Below are 18,434 nucleotides of genomic sequence, written 5' to 3'. Positions count from 1 at the left end.
TCTTCTCAAGCACATATGAAACATTTATGAAAATGTACATATACTTTCAAAGGATGAGAGTAACAGATTTGTTCTCTGACCACCACGCAATTTAAGTTAGAAGTCAAATTTAAAAGTTATGAGAAAATAATACCTAACCATTTCAAATTAAAAACACATTTCTGATAATTCATGGGTCAAAAACATCATAAATTTAAATCATTAGGAACTAAACATAGACAAACATAAGATTTATCGAAAGTTTAGGGATACAAGTTGTTCCAGAAGAAAATTTAGTCTTAAAATACTACATTAGAAAAGAATAAAAATTAATGAGCTAAGTCTCCAATATAAGAACACAGAAAAACAGAATAATCCAACAAAAAAAGGGATAACAAAGAATGGAAATCAAGTACATAGAAAACTACCATATAATGGAAAAAAACTGAAAGTTGGTTTTTGAAGACAACAAATAAAACACGACAATTTTATGACAAGATTAAGAAAAAAGAGAACACATAAACAGCATCAGAAGCAAAAAGGGATCACAACTACAGACAACACAGATTAAACAATAAAGAGAATATGCTGCACTTTATACCAACACACTTAAAAACTTAGCCGAAATGGATTAACTACTAAAAACAAAAACAAAAACTTACCAAACTCAAAACAAAAAAGAAATCTTGAAGAGTCTAATAACTATTAAAGACATTAAATCAGTAATTTAAAATCTTCCTACAAGGCCACATGCCTTTTACAGGTGAGTGAAGGTACAGATCATTCCAATATTACACAAACTCCCAGCAAATAGGGAAAAAAAAAGATTATTCCCTGACTTATCCCACCTGGCTGGTATAATCTTGGTGTCAAAATCAGGTAAGGGCAGTATAAATAAAGGGAAATCCTAAGCCAATTTTATTATACATATAAACTTAGATGTCAAAATCCTAAATAATTAGAAACACATTATCAGTGTTTATCTAGAAAAAAGATAATCAATCATGGGCAAGTTAGGTTTATTTCAGCAAATCAACAGTAGCTTAATATTAGAAGAATGTAGCAATGTAATTTGTCACATTAACAGATTAGAGAAGAAAAACAATTATGATCATCTCAGAAAGCATTTGATACAACCCAGTACCTATTCATAGTTTTATAAGCCCTTGGAAAATCAGGAGAGGAACAGAATTTCCTTAACCTGATGGTTCTATCAAAAACCTAACAGTAAAAATCTAGAAGCATTTCCTTTATAAAGAAAAAAGGAATCATACAAGAACTCCACTTTGAGTACTTCGACATTATAATGTTGTTATAATTTAATTTGCTGTTATATAATATTATAATGGAGGTTCTTGCCAGAACAAATAAACAAAACAAAAAAAGGGACAAACAAGGATCTGAAAAAAAAAGGAGCAAAACTGTCATTATCTGCAAGAGTATTTCCCAAATAGACTTTACAAATTATAGTGAGAGTTCAGAAAGGTAAATGGCTATAAAAATAACCAACCAAACAACTATTTCTGAATACAAGCAAATATAAACAGAACACACTGTTCAAATGTATATAACACTTATAACAGCAACAAAAACATTAGGTACCTAAGGACTAAATCCAACCAAAGACATTCAAGAAGTGTATGGAGATAACTATAGCAGTTTATTGAAAACAACACCTCTGCAAATGGAGAGAAAGTCCTTGATCACTGATAAACTCAATGCTGTAAAGGTATGAATTCCACACAGACTGATCTAGAGCATCAGTGCAATTGCAATATGGTATAGTAAATAAAAGCAAGGACTCTGAAGCCAGGCAACATAGGTTCAAATCCTGACTCTGCCACTTACTGTGTGACATGTGGAAATTAATATTTTGATTTCCTCATCTATAAAATGGAGATAGTAACAATACACCTACTTTAAAACTGTCAGGATTACATAAATTAACATAAATTGCTTCAAAGAGCATTATGTAGTAAGTACTATACAAATGTTATTAATCAAAATCTCAAGTTTTTCATGGAACTTGCTAAGTTCAGTCTAAAATACATATGTAAAAGCAACAATTGATTTTGATGCACTAGATATCAGATTTACTATAAAACTCATAATTAAAGATATTATGGAATTTATTAGCACAGGGACAGCTAACCAACTGAATATCTAGAAAGCCCAAAACCAGATTCATACACATAGATATGTAATAGATGACAGAGACGACAATCGTACATCCCTCAGGAACGACAGACTATTCAATAAATGATTTGGGAACTACTAGATCTTTATACCTAAAAAATTAATTTCAGATGGCCAAATGACTTAAATGTGAAGAGCAAAACTTGAAAACTTTTTCTGGGAGGAAAAAAGTATTAAAGAATATCTTTATGTACTTGAGGTGGAGAAAGGCATGTTCCAAATATGAACCCCACTAAAATGTGTAAGACTTTACACAACTGATGACATACAAGGAAAAACAATGGTACAGGTTGAGATTTCCTAATCTGAAAATCCAAAATACTGCAAAATCCAGAGTTTTCTGAGAGCCAACACAATGCCACCAGTAGAAAATTCCACACCTGAACTCATGTGATGGTTATCAGTCAAAATACAGTCAAAACTTCGTTTCATGCACAAGAATATTTAAAATAGAGTAAAATTAACTTCAGGCTATAGATATAAGCCGTACATGAAAAAAATGAATTTCATGTTTAGACTAGGTTTCCATCCCCAAGATATCTCATTATGTATATGCAAATATTCCAAAACAAACATCCGAAATCCAAAACACATCTCCTCCCAAGCATTTCTGATAAGGAATACTCAACTTGTAATTTGAATTATTTGTCATGTAACTTTCTCCCTTGTGGAGCTTGGGTGTATAATTATCTCTGCAGTGCACAATATTTACACATTCATAATAATGTAAATGTTGTTTATTGTTTAGCTTTTAGATTTAAAAATCTGTCAGACCACGAATTATTTTTGTTACAGGACAAAATGTAAACATTGTAAGAAGTATAGTTGAGCAAAGCTAGGTGGTGGAGAAAGAAAAGTTCAGTGAAGGCTTAGAAAGACGCACTAATATTCTCATTTTACCACAGTAGAATGGTACATGAAACAGATAAATGAGAAGAGGAGCAAAAATAGTAATACATATATAAATGAGAAGAGGAGCAAAAATAGTAATATAATTTTATTGGTGGGAGAAAACAGAAGGGTAGTAATGATAACTGAGCAAAATACATATCTATCATATTGAAAGATAACAGATGGTATGTAAGTTATATACTCAAGAAATAAGGTGATAAACATATATAGAAATGCTGTAGAGACCACTGAAAGAACTAAAAACACATCAAAAAACAAAGGTAAAACAGAAATCACCAACAAAGAAGCTGTATTTATCAAATGCATTCTAAAACCTTGTTTTACTAGGAAACTTCTAACTTTCTTCTATTTACTTCTTACAATGTGGTTTATAATTGTTATTACTAAAGAGGCTTTCCATTCAAAAAAACAAAAACAAAAACAAAAACAAAAAACCTTGTCTCTGAGAGAAGAGTTGGGGGCAGGAAAGAGTGGGCAAGAGACTCTCACTTTTTTATAAAAATGTGCATGTATTACCTTGAGAAAAAGTTAAATACCAAGTTAGCATTTTTAAAAAATAAAATATTCTGTAATGAAACTGAATGGGTAATCTCAAGAATTACTCTCTTTCTAATATGGAGTATTCCTCATGTTTATCTGTATTGAAACAAATATACATGGAACTGAATAACAAAATAGAAACTGGAAAGTCTCATTAAAATAGTAAAACAATCAAACTTTAATAAGTCATGTTCACCAAATGCTTACATATTAAAGGCATCATACCAAGTACTTAATAGTCAAAATTTATTTTACAGATGAAAAAAACGATGTAGGTTATTATTCAAAGCTACTAACATGAGATGAACCCAGGACCCAAACCTAGGCTGTCTAACTGCAGGGCCTATGCTTTAACAATGATGCTACACTGCCTCAGAGTGCAGAAAAGGGAAGGAACTTGGAGCTTGTTGGAGATTAGGGTGATAATTATAAAAAATAACAGGTAACATTTGATGGTTTACTAAATGGCAGGACTAAGGTGCTTCAATGTATTTCAATGAACTCCACATTAAAAGGAAGAACTGAGCTGTCCATTTAATGGCTGAATATCTTTAAGTCACATAAATGGTAAGAGGGGGAATCAAGATTACAACCCAAGGACTATGACTACTTAAATATCTAGCAAAAAAAAAAGGGGAGAAGGGGAAGAAACATAGTCATTGAAACAAGTAAGTCAACATAAATACCATCTTTTGTAGTGAATGAATGGCAAGCGCAGTTTGAACAGGTACAGTTTGAAGGACAGTACGATACCCTGATAGAGATACCTAGAAGTGTATGACTGGTACCTATTTCTGATCTACCACTAAGACTTTATTCTATCAAATAAATCCTTCGGAGTCTATTCAATTTTCTTCATCTCCATCTTCAATGGTATTGAGTACATGACATCCTAATTTTTCCTCTGGATTACTTCTGTAGGAGACCAGAATATGTCACCCCAAAACATCCCTCTCTGACATAAGGATTATTTTGAGCTGAAGGTAGCTGAACAGATGCAGATACAAGAAAAGCTTCCCGCCCTCCCTAATTTGCCTAAAAGCACGATGTAAGTTTACAAAGACAAAGGTGTCCTTCCTCCTCTCTCTACCAGAAAGGACAAAAGTTGATCACTGAAGACAAATTTAGACCCTTATCGGCATGGACAAGGCACCAGAGGAAACTGCATGAGAATGTTCACCAACTAGCCTTTATATAGTATATATTGCCTTTCCACAACTGGTTGCTCATGAAGACTCAAGGCCCTTTTCCTTTATCTTGTCACTTCTCTAAAAATTCATTGCTCCTTACTGAAGATGCTATATAATCTGGATTTCTAAGCCATCTCTTTGAGAACTACTCATTCCCTGGTTATTTCCCATGGATATATGAGGTATACATGTTAATAAACTTGTTCTTTTCTCTCTTGTTAATGTGCCTTTTAATACAGGGTCCATCCTAAGAACTAGGAAGAGTAGGGAGAAAATTATTTTTTACTCCCCCACATGTTCCACAACTTCTTATTGCTGTTCCAATCCAAGAAGGCCAACCCCACCTTTCTACTCACCCTATAAATTCAAAACTTCCTCATCGTAACTAGCCAGAATGGAGATTTTTCAAATGTAAATGTAGCAACTTCACAACTCAGCATAAAACTAACTGGTTCCACACAGCCCTCTGAATAAGGTCCAAACTCCACAGCATGGCTATAACGTCCTGCATAAGCACACAGTCTCTACATTCCAGCCACAACACACTTCTTCCAGCTCCTAATACCTACCATGTTCCCTCTCACTCCTTTATCTCTGAATAGCCTGGAAGTCAAATTATCTACCCTTCCACTTCTCTGGAGTAGGAGACCCCTCTGCTATGCTCCCATGACACCCTCTAACTCCTGTCACCCAGCTATCTCCCCATAAGCCTATAACTTTTATGAGGGCAAGCACTCTATACAGGTTACTCTATCCTTAAAACTTAGTACAGGTCAGGTGTGGTGGCTCACACCTGTAATCCCAGCACTTTGGGAGGCTGAGACAGGAGAATTGCTTGAGCCCAGGAGTTCAAGACCAGCCTAGGCAACATGATGAGACCCTATCTCTACAAAATTAGCCCGGCATGGTGATGCACGCCTGTAGTCCTAGCTGCGTGGGATGATCACTTTAGTTCAGGAGGTTGAAGCTACAGTGAGCCATGATCGCACCACTGCACGCCAGCCTAGGCAACAGACAAGACTCTGTCTCCAAAAAAAAATTAGTACAATGCACAGCATTTTTAAAATAAATGACTGATCAAGAGGTGCAAAAGAAAATGGGGTCAGAAGGCCTTGGAATGGATAAAGTTGTCAAGAATGAACATGAAAGGGGACCTACACATGATACAGAAAAAAAATAAACCAGCGAGGGAGAAAGATGGAAACAAGGTTAGGTGTGTGCCATAAGTGAAGAAATAGAAACGTTACAAACAACGAAGATTGAGACAAATTGGTGACAAATCCTAAATCCTTTTAGAAAAGGCAAAGTACAAATATCCCTGTTGTGTCACCATGAATTAATTTTAAAAGCACAGTTGATAAATACATTAAATTTATTGTTTGCTAACCTGGCAGATACATAGACCACTCATTCCTGTAGTTAATATTTTTTAATTGCTCTGTAAGATGTTAAACCATGAACACGTTTTTATTGCTTTAAAAATATTCAAGTACTTTACTGATTCAAACTGAATCTAGGCATCTAAATAATACTACTTACCATTGCCATATGGAAATGCACGTGCAGAACGACTATCATAACCAGAGGAATGTCCACTGTTGAAGAAAAAGATATATTTTTATGTCTGGTACAAATAAGTTCTGAATTTTAATAATGTAGTACAAAAGGAAAAACAAGGCAAAATTACAACTTTTATCCAACCACCAATTTAATGATAATTTAGTTCTATAATTTTATTAATAAAACATGGGGTTTTTTTTAACCTAAAAAATATTAAAATACCTAATTTTACAGAAAAATAGGATGTACTAATACTATTTAACATAAATAATCCAATCAACTTAGCTTGAGTTACAAGTAAAGTAATAGAAAATTTCAGGCTATCAGAATATTTCAGACTAAAAATTTAGTCTTAAATAATTGGTTTTTTGGTGATAAATCAGTAATTCAGCCCCACTGACAGGATTAACAAAGAATACTTTTTAACATTTTGACTGAGAAAATAAATGTGTCTAACAGACACTCAATAAAACTAAATCCTTATGTTCTCACAATTCATACTTTCTTGATTTTATAGTTTCCTCTGAAAATCATATGCAGGGTTTGATGCTACTGATGTAAAGTTCTCACATATTTTGCCTTTTTACATTATTTGAATCATTTTTTCAGAAACACACTATTTTTAACAGTTTATTTGCCACTTAAGAGGAAATAACAATAACTCTTATTAGTGATTTCTATCTGCCAAGAATTATACTTGCACTTTATATTCAGTAGCCTTTTAAATCTTCACAATTCTATCAACCCTTTTGGTAAAAAGGAAAACTGAGTCTCAAAGGGCTTACGAACCTTGCCTAGCAACACTGTTTGATTTCTATGTTGTTAAACACCATACTGCCACCCATGAAGGAAATATTCTTTGTACAGCGTTCTAGTTAGCATAAGCCTTAAATACACGGTACAAAAAATAAGGCTACTGCCACACAGAATGGATCTAATCCTTCTTTGTGGAAGCTGAGATGGTGTATCAAGGAATAAGACAGCTTTTCTTGACTATGGTCCCATAATAGTTTTCCCTACTTTATCCCAAAACAGACATGTATTATTCATGATTTCCAGTAATTTATGTTTGTATTTCCCATAAAACTGACTTGCTGGGTTTTTAACAGTCTAGGAGCTTCTTTAATCAAGTGTGTCATAAATCAAAGCAAGATATTATTTCAAAATATTACGATTTTAGTTTTCTTTGCCCTGTTTTGATATCGGGCTACAGGTCCAACATCTTATATAAAAGTAACTAACATAGATCTAGATTTATAAATTAAAAGACAGGTGCTGTGTTTATAAAATTAAATATCTGAAAATATTTCCAAGTATATGGTTCTTCTGTCAAAAGGCTATCAATGATCAAAAATCAGTATCCATACTGATTTACCTTTCTATTGTTGGTATAAGAGATGGAGGTGGAGCGCCTGGTGGAGGAGGAAAACCTGAAACATTCAATCATAAGATAAAAAATGTTAACAATGTACACTTAATGTCAAGAGTGAAACAAAGTTGCTGCATATCACTAAATTTCTCTGGGGATATGAATGTGCTTCTCTATGTTGTAATAATGGACAGAAAAAAATGGAGCTCAAACTTATGAACAGATTTTTAGCGCAATAAAACTTTAAGTAAGCAGTCTGGTCTAATACACAGAAAACAAACTGGGAGTCAGGACACCGGTCTTATTTTCAGCACCACACACAGCCCATTTTGTAAGTATGAGAAAGTTAATCTCAATGCCTTACCTTCTCCATACATAAAACAGTAGCCACCAGATATATTTGAAATATTTTAGAAGGAAAGCAGATATATAGCAATTACCTCTTTCAAAAAATATTTCGAGTTTTAGAAGTATAGAAATTTCCTTAAAATGTGTAATTTATAAATAAAATCTTACCAGTAAATGTACAGTGTTCAAAGCTGAGAATATCCACCAGAAAATATGTTCAAATAGCACAACCCTAACAAACTGTTTTACAAAGAAAAGCACATAATATAGTTTGTGTATTAGTTTGGAAGGAATATAATTTGTACCTCTATATCGTGGGGTCTGCATTCTGAATAATTCACAATACCTAAATGGAATACCACAGAATAATATGGCTAAAAAACAGTTAATCTACACTACACTTTCAAATTCAGATAGGCTATAAAGCATCCTAGCAGAAAAAGATTTCCAAAACTTATGATGTCAATTCCTTATGATACCAATTCCTTCCAAGTGTTAACAATTAACAACTCTCACTACTAGGAAATGCACTAAATTATCTAACTTAAGTCTCTCATACTACAATTCAGACACTGTCCTAAATGAGAACAAGAGGTATTCCACTGTCATACTGTCTATCACCTTCTAGTTATGTGAAAACACTTCCACTAAGCCTCCGTTTTAGTAATTCTGTGAAAAAATGAATCAGTTCTCTGAATCCTTCTCAAAGGTCCACTTAAATCCATTTTTAGCCCCACTTCAAATTGTTTTCATGTTTACCATGTTCTTCACTGTATCCAGTGTTAGGATCTATAATTCCTCTATTAAACATCTTAAAAGTACAAAATTTGGCAATTACCACATTAGTCCTAAAGTCCACAATCCTATTTCATACAGCCTCACAACCACATTGTTTTTTAAACTAAAAAGACACAAATGATTCCTTTGACTTTCCCTGATGAGTCTTTTTCAGACACATTCACACATAATCAATGTCTGTATTCCACATCTAAGTATGTATACTGTACTATGCTACCTAAACTTCACTCTTTCTGTTTATTGAAGTCATTTTGAATTTAGACCCACCCTTGCAAGCATTATCACCTCTCATTCTCTTTACACACCTTGGCTTTTAACACTGAACTCAGGAAGACACACTTGCTACCAGGTGTGATATCACACTATAAAAAGAAATAACTGACAAAAATGTAAAAATAAATAAATAAATAAATAAATAAAACACTGGGCCACATATAAACTCCTAGTGATCATACTATTACAACAATAAACAATCACCACTCTAAGAACAGCCACCTGACCAGCTGTCTGTCTAGTTGCTATGTGGGGTTTAGAACACATTTTCTCACGATACTAAGCCAGCAGGACTAAAATTAAAAAATCGGAAATAATGATAAAGACAAAATAAATTATCTTTCTCTTCTCTTATAGTCACTATATTACATAAAAAATTCATTGGTCTGTAAAGACATTTTTAAGAAAACTTTTATTTTATATCCTATACTGTTTTCTTCACAAATTGAATAGGTAAGAATTTTCTCAGAATCTCTATTTCTACAGAAACGGGTAAGACAGGTATAAGAAAACTAAATATCTTAATCAAAACTGGAATGAAGCAAAGGCAGAGCTGAAAATAGGACCTTGAAATCCCCATAGCCTATTCCATATTCTAACCGCATCAACACCGTCTCTCCTGTAACTATAAGCTTGAAATTTCATGTTTATTAACAATGATGGAGAAAACATGAAAAAAGTTTTACCTGGAGGTGGTACAGTTATTGGAATACCTAAAAAACAAGTGATGAAATTTAATATAGTAATTGGATTTCAGAACCTGTTATGTATTTATGCCATCACCAAAACAAACTTTGAAATAAAACCCCTCGCCTCATTATCCTGGCTTATTCACTCAAGAGAACCATTCTGTTTTCTCGTAGAGGACTAACAATTCGAGTATAACATCCAACTTCCTTGATGAAAACCCAGTCTAACAACTTGATAACAAGGTTTCCCCCACTAGTAATCACAAAGTTAGACATCAGTTAAAAAGCACACTTATGCACACACAATTATCAAATGCCATGAAGTTAATCCTTACTAAATATGATAATCAATGCCTGAGGTTGTTATTTTAACATTTTAATAGAAAAACTGATCTGTGGGTTCTTTCTCTAATACTGCAGGTAGTACAAGGATAACTCAAGATGATGGATATTACTGACTTTTGTAAAGCTCAATATGTTGTGGTTCATTCAAGTGTTGACTGTTCTAGTATTGTTGGCAGAAGTGAGAAAAGGCTAACATTTCCTTTGATTTGTAGGAGAGAAAGGGGGAAAAACCAATTCATATATATACACCCCCAGGGCACATTAACATAAACGTGAATGATTTACTTCTACAGGTGCTAGCAAATATTAATTTGAGTGACTCTCACTCATTATTTGTACACATTATAAACTCTGAGGAATAAACTATGTATATTTTTAATTTACAGGGACCAAATGTGCCCTTAAAGCCTAATGTAAAATGTATTTACTAAATACTAAAATTAAATTCAGCATTTTAAATTTAAGAGATACATGAAAGGCAATTTATGTGGCATGCAAATTTTAACTATCTTCAGTGGAGGAAAAATGAGAGATTTCTAAGCAGGAAAATAAAAAAAAGTAAGACAATTTAAAGTAACTTTTTCATGAAAAGTTGTATACCATAAATAACTAAAACAGTTGGAACGGTTTCCTAAATCCTATCTTAAAAACTGCATCAAAATTAGTCCAAAAAATAATCTAATTTATTAGCTAAATGTATGCCAAAAAAAGAAACAGAATTGTTTTCAAATGTTTTCTTGTCAAAGGAAACATATTCTAACACTAAACATGTTCTGATGTGCATGTTTTATCAGAGTAAGAGATTTAGATTAAAAAGATCTTAAGGTAGCAAATGGCCTTAAAAAAGAGACCAAAGCACCTGATTTTAACCACCCATACAATAAAAACATATTCCAAACTTACAAAGCCAACAAGACTAAAGATACATAAAGCAGCCATCAAGTTTCAAAAATCTTTATGAATCCACAAGTCTACTAAACTGACCCATAGCTAATGGCAATTCTCATCCATCCTGAGGTTACCTTCCTGTTTCCCAAATTACTAAACTAAAAGAATCCAACAAACCATACAAGCTAGTAGAGTCCCAGACTCCAAAGTAAATGAGAAAAGTAAGGAAGGCAGATCATTAAATGTTTTTAATATATACTACAACCTAATTTTCTTTAGAACAATACGGACACTACTTAACTTCACTATTTGATCTAGTTTTCATAAGTAAATACATGATTATTTTCGTAGATTTATAAGATACAGATTTGTAAGATAAGATTTATAAGATAAAGGAATATACCAAAATCATCCACCCATTCTATATACTATAATCCTAATAACTTTACCTAAATGATTATGTGAGCAGGATGTATCACTTTAGCTAAGGCTTACTACAGCTTACTAAAATGTAAATTCATGCTAAAAACTAAAAAATTACTAGTCAGCCCCTTCAAACTTTAGTCCTCAAAAACATTTAAGTTGTTAAACTTCCACAAAATGTAGAGATAAAAGACATATGACCAAAGAATTAAGTACATTACAAAGGTAGTTAAAATTACTGTCTGCCTTTAATGTTAATCTTACTACAGCAGTATCATAGGACAGACAAAAATAATCTACTGGAATTAAAGACATAATCAAAGAAAAAACCATGTCATTTATAGGTCTTTCCAATCAATACCTACACATCAGAAAGTTGGCATGGCAACTAGCAAGGGCCCTTCTTGTGAGACCTCCATTTCATCTAAGATGTTATTTCAATGCAAATCTTTATAAGTAAATGTTCATTAAAACAAGACTATAAAGTTGATGAAACACTATATAACCAATTCTTTGACAATTACTGAATGTATTTTCAAACTGATACGTGATATCATGTAAGGCCAACATCATTCTCACTTAAAAATCACTATTTAGTATTTGACTTTTCTTAATAAAAGAGAAACAGTGTAAGGGAAGAGAAAATTCATCTCAAACGTCCCTCTTCTTTCCCCTCCCAACACCTCCATCTTCCTGGCAAACACATGCTGCCTAACCTAGACAACAGACTTAAATAAGGAAAGTATTTTGTTTCTTTTCTATATCCTTTATCTGAAAAATGAGTTTAAAAAAATGTTGATTTTCCTGGAAAGCTGTATGTAACAGTAGTAAAAGTAGATTTCTAGTGCCAGCCAAAACCTTTTGGAAAAGTAATACTCAAGCTCTAACAGACTGAACAGATTAGTGGTATTAAAACTTGAACATAGGCCGGGCGCGGTGGCTCACACCCGTAATCCCAGTACTTCCGGAGGCCAAGGCAGGTAGATCACAAAGTCAGGAGATGGAGACCATCTTGGCTAACATGGTGAAACCCTGTCTCTACTAAAAATACAAAAAATTAGCCAAGCATGGTGGCATGCACCTGTAGTCCCAGCTACTCAGGAGGCTGAGGCTGGAGAATCGTTTGAACCCAGGAGGCGGAGGTTGCAGTGAGCCGAGGTCGCGCCACTGCACTCCAGCCTGGGCAACAGAGCGAGACTCCATCTCAAAAAAATAAAATAAAATAATAAATAAATAAATAAATAAATAAAAACTACCTTGAACATGCATGAGAATCACCTGGAGAGTCTCTTAAAACACACAGATTGCTGGGCCCTTCCCCTAGAATTTCTGATTCAGTAAGTCTGGGGTGGGACCAGAAAACCTACATTCCCCTAAATTTCCCAGATGATGTTGCTGGCCCAGGACTATACTATGAGGATCACTGGATCCGATTCTAAGCTTCCCTCCTAATTTCACTGCTGAGCAATTTAGTACAGACTAAATAAATCCCATTCCGAATTTTTATGAAACAAAAGCATCTACCTATGACACTTAAAAGGACTATGAGAGCCTACACCATCTGGCATTCTCAAAAGAGAAGATGATTTCTCTCTCTTTTTTTTTTTTTTTTTTTTTTTTTTTGGTTGAGACAGGGTCTCACACTGTTGTGTAGGGTGAGTGGCATGACCACGGCTCACTGCAACCTCTGCCTCCCCAGCTCAAAGCAATCCTCCCACCTCAGCCTCCCAAGTAGCTGGGACTACAGGTGTGTACCACCATGCTCAGCTAATTTTTTGCATTTTTTGTGGAGACAGGGTTTCGCTATGTTGCCCAGGCTGGTCTCAAACTCCTGGGCTCAAGCGATCCACCCGCCTCAGCCTCCCAAAGTGCTGTGATTACAGGTGTGAGCAACCATGCCTGGCCTTAATTTTTGCATTTTTTATAAAGATGGGGTTTCTTCATGTTGCCCAGGCTGGTCTCGAACTCCTGAACTCAAGCAATCTACCCGCCTTGGCCTCTCAAAGTGCTGGGATTACAGGAGTGAGCCACCACACCCAGCTTAATTTTTCCAGCATATAACACATACACTTAAATGTAAAAGTGGGTGGGGGTAAGACCTGAAATCCTATTTTGGAGATTGAAAGAACTGAGGCAAAGAAACAGAAAGGCAGCATTCCTGTTAAACATCATATTAAAAAGAATTTACCCATACTAAAAATTCCCACAAAATTAATAGTGGGCTTTGCACTCACAAAAAAACTAAACAGATTGTCTATAAACTCATTCTCAATGTAGTCTATCATAATTTTATATAACTAAGGCAAAATAGCTTCTGACATGGCTCTCAATGATCCCTGTCTGCTGGTATTTATGTCCTGTGTGGGGGCTGGACATTGTGACTTATTTCTACCACACACAAAAAAAATCAAAGGATGTTACTTCCATGACTAGGTTACAAAAGACAGTTATTTCTATTTCACTGGCACCCTCTCTGTTGCCTTCTTGGCTTACATGCTTTGATTAAGCAAGCTAACATATTAAGACGCCTACACCAGTGAGGAACTGAAGCCCTGTCAATGCAACAGCCTAGAAAAAAACAAAATCCTTTTAACAAAGAGGTGAGTGAGCTTGGAGACAAATACTTCCTTAGTCAGGCTTTTGGAGAAGACTGTGAGGTCTGAGAGAGACCTTAAAGCAGAGGATCCAGCTAAGCTGTCCCAGATTCCTGACCCATGAAAACTGTTCAATAATAAATGTATGTTGTTTTAAGCCACTACATTCTGGAGTAACTTGTTATACGGCAGTAGAAACCCAATACATGCAATAACCATCTATCTTTTCTCTATTCAAATTCACATGAAAGAAAAAAAATGGCAGAATATGTAAACTACGCTTCCTATTTCTCACTAGTAAATTCCAAGTTCCGTCGGCACTATTATTTAAGAAACAGATAAACTTGATCACTTTCCTTAAGTCTCATGACTTGTATTTCAAAGCCATCAAGCTCAGAAGTTTTACTCAAAATGAGTAGAAAAGGACAAGGTTTACAAAAATCTTTAAATATCACCTTCTACCAGAAATGCGTTTCTATGTATCAGGATTTTAAAAATTCAACACAAACAAAAACATACGCACACACACGTGTATCATCTCATCTACCATCCACCCTTAAATACAAACCAGAATGTAGAAAGAATATGGCAAAACCATTATTTCATAATTAAAACAATTACAAGGTGCAAAAAAAGTTTTAAGTTATTTTTAAGAAAAGAAAAAAGGGTTAAAAAGTGGTACGGTCACACAACAAAGTAACCAAAAATTTACCAGCATACTTCATGTCTAAAAGGTAAAAAAGGTAATTTTACATACACTATAAAATGGACAAACTATGTTACCTTTATTAGGATCTGTTACTCTTCTATTTTATAAAATCTAAAGCCTACAGAAGATAAACTTCTATCTTACACAAAACATTTTTGATAGAAATACCTATGTTTTTTAATAGAGAACTTGTAAAGAAATGATCTCTACCAGCTTCCATATAATCATGAGACGATCAAAAGAGCAGTGTAAGCAGAAGGCACAAATTAAACTGTAATTAGATTCAACAAAATGTGGTGTCAATGATGTATTCAAAATGTAACTATTATAAAGGGTGCATCCTGGAGGAGAAAGCACATTCAAAAATCAACATCCTAAGAAAGCTTTTAATCTCTATTAAATTTACATTTAAATAAATTTTAATTGTGCCAGAAAATTCTATTTATTATAGATAATTAGCATTGCTCTCTGTTTTGAATTTAATGAAAACACTGATAGGCAGGCTTTTTAAATTGAATATAGAAAAACACAAGAATAAATACAGTTTTCAAAAACTTTGAGTTCTTTTTTAATGGTAACTCTGGAAAATGCTTACATTTCTGGCAAACAGTGCCAGTTAATTTGAGGTAATCTGTTGAGTAAGACCAAAAATTCATGGTATTATAAAATTAGCTTAATAAACATTATAGTCATAAACTAGTTTCTCAATTAAAGGGATAAAAGTGTACTTCCTCAAGGGCACTGATAATATTCATCCAATACAGGCCAAGCTTCTGCCAAAGCAGTGTTCTCAACGTTCTGTCCAGGAATTCCCGGAGGTCCCTGAGACCCTACTGAATCTGCCAGGTCAAAACTACTTTCATAAATTTACTAAGCTGTGGCCAGGCGCAGCGGCTCACGCCTGTAATCCCAGCACTTTGGGAAGCCGAGGTGGGTGGATCACTTGAGGTCAGGAGTTCAAGACCAGCCTGACCAACATGGAGAAACCCCATCTCTAAAATTACAAAATTAGCCAGGTGTGGCAGTACATGCTGGTAATCCCAGCTGCTCGGGAGGCTGAGGCAGGAGAATCGCTTGAACCTGGGAGGCAGAGGTTGCAGTGAGCTGAGATAGTGCCACTGTACTCCAGCCTGGGCAACAAGAACAAAACTTCATCTCAAAAAAAAAAAAAAAAATTTACTAAGATGTTATTTGCCTTTTTCATGCTCATTCTCTTACAGTGTAGTTTCCAGGGGCCACATAACTCGTGATATCACAATAGATTTAATGTGAAAACAAACAGGAGAAACCAGCTTTTTCTACTAAGCCACATAGTAAAGAGATTTCCAAAAGCATAAAATAAGACCACTTCCCACTAAATTTTTAAAATTATTCTAGGAAAAGTACAGTTATTTTTCATAAGAAATTTAAAAATGTTAACATGTAATGAGTGTATTATACATATCTCTAATATTTTAATTTCTCAGTTTTAACTTCTAATATTAAAAAACAGATAAAACATACATAAGTAGAAGCTCTATGGGATCTGCAGTAATTTTAAAGAGTTTAAAGAAGACGTAACCAAAAAGTTTTGAGAACTGCTGTGCTAAAGAACCAGACTGCTAACAGAAAAATAATCTAATGAGAATGCAGGACTTAGAGGAAATGCAGAATGACCCTAGATATGAGCAACTCGCCACCCGCCCCCACCCCCTGACCCGATTCCTATATATCATCCCTAACCCGAAATTAACATATTTAAGGAATAAATAAGATTTTAAAGTTCATGAAATTAGTAGTACTAGATGATTAGCCAGACACTGATACAAGACAACAGTCTTTTAGGAAGAAATCTACTTCTTTCTAAAATGCAGAATCCTACACATCTGGTATCTAGATAAACAGTTAAACCCTATAGCTAACTTTAAAAGCAGGGATCCTGGTTTGTGGTCCACAGTAGTTGGGCTATATCTCAGTAAAGCAAAGACCCTTCTTCAACTCAGCAGAATTCCACTACTGGGCTACATTTCAATTGTTCCCAAGACCCACAGAACTAGTCATTTGAGGCTGATAAGAGTTCATACAAAAACAAATGAGTTTAACTGAATTTACCTTCTATTCTACAGTAAACTCCACTACAAAAAAAAAAATGAACATCAAATATGATGACACTGAAGTAAATTAACATTTAAAAGCCTAAATTAAAGCCTACCATAAAGTTAGCTCACAATCATTAATTAAATTCTATTATTTTAGAAACAAAGTAAGTCAGACACAGATAGACAAATGCATGATTCCACTTATATGAGGTACCTAGAATAAGGAAACTCATAGAGACAAAAAGTAGAATAGAGGTTACAGGGGCTATCCTTAGGAGGGAAGGAGTTTAGTGGGCACAGAGTTTTCACTGGAGATGATGAAAAAGTTTTAGGTACAGCTCATGGTGATGGTTACATAACATTGTGAATGTATTTAATGCCAATGAACTACATATTTATAAATGGCTAAAATGACAAATAGATTGTATTTTACCACAATAAACAAACACACAAAATCACCTACCCTATAACATTAATACTTCCAGTTTTACAGTTTTTCTTCCAATAAACAAATATTTCAAAACTGACTTCAGCTAAACACAGACTTCTTAACACAAGCCAGGCAAACAGTAAAAACCTTATTCAGATTTTCAAAAATGTGATGACTGTTCCTTATAATCTCCCTAACTTCCCTACCCACAAATACGTATGCATGTACTTCAACATCAGAGAAATGCTTTAAAAAAAAAAGTTTCTAGGACTGTGACAAATACACGTAATCCAATAATACGATTTTCTGGATATAGGTACTGATTCATTTCAACATAGTTAATAAAGAAAACAGGCTTTCAAGCAAAACTGCCTGGGTTAGAATTCTGGTTTTACTATTTTCTAGCTATTACTCAGATGACTTAGGTCCCCGCTTCCTCAGTGCAAAATTAGAATATCATCTACTTCAGATATTGTTCAAGAATCAAATGAGTTAACACATGGAATGTACTCAGAATAGTACCCTGAAAAGTGAGCATTCAATAAGTATTAGCTATTATATCTATTATTACTCAGAAAAAGCATGAAACCACTGTAATGTATTTCTGAAAAAACTTAATACAATGGAAACTATTTTCTGATTCACGAGAAAATGAAATAACAGATTTTCTGGATATTATAGAAGAACTAAATTAGCCAGTATTTGTTTTCTTTCTTTTTTTTTTTTTTTTTTTTTTTTTTGAGATGGAGTTTTGCTCTTGTCGCCCAGGCTGGAGTGCAATGGTGTGATCTCGGCTCACTGCAACCTCTGTCTCCTGGGTTCAAGTGATTCTCCTGCCTCAGCCTCCTAAGTAGCCAGGACTACAGGTGTATGCCACCACACCCAGCTAATTTTTTCATATTTTTAGTAAAGATGGAGTTTCACCATGTTGGCCAGGCTGATCTTGAACTTCTGACCTCAGGTGATCTTCCTGCCTCAGCCTCCCAAAATGCTGAAATTACAGGTATGAGCCACCATGCCTGGCCCAGTATTTGTTTTCAAGCTACTGTTAGTATGGCTGCAGGGAACCACGATAAATGCTTTTGCACTTCCAGACATCTCTTCCTTCTTTGT

The 18,434-nt window shown here is 34.3% G+C and overlaps 1 protein-coding gene across 60 annotated transcripts in view; it reads right to left on the bottom strand.

The window, feature by feature from the left end:
• The window catches only part of FIP1L1 (factor interacting with PAPOLA and CPSF1), an 83,222-nt gene that overhangs the window by 10,403 nt on the left and 54,385 nt on the right, over positions 1-18,434 (bottom strand). For 31 of the 60 annotated variants that reach the window (NR_164847.1, NM_001376744.1, NM_001376745.1 and 28 more), the window contains 3 exons: positions 9,852-9,878; positions 7,753-7,807; positions 6,357-6,412 (listed from right to left, as the gene is read on the bottom strand). Coding sequence is in view for 57 of the 60 variants with exons in the window: in NM_001376744.1 (NP_001363673.1) it covers positions 6,357-6,412; positions 7,753-7,807; positions 9,852-9,878 (138 nt within the window). In the remaining 3 variants the exon portion in view is untranslated. The remainder of the gene's footprint in view (positions 1-6,356; positions 6,413-7,752; positions 7,808-9,851; positions 9,879-18,434) is intronic. The other 29 variants (NR_164848.1, NR_164849.1, XM_047416208.1 and 26 more) reach the window with 1 other exon arrangement.

The sequence above is a fragment of the Homo sapiens genome, chromosome 4 (genome assembly GCF_000001405.40).
Source record: "Homo sapiens chromosome 4, GRCh38.p14 Primary Assembly".
NCBI classification, from domain to species: Eukaryota; Metazoa; Chordata; class Mammalia; order Primates; family Hominidae; genus Homo; species Homo sapiens.
Note: the sequence above shows the minus strand (reverse complement) of the source record. Positions and strands in the feature narration are given on the sequence as shown.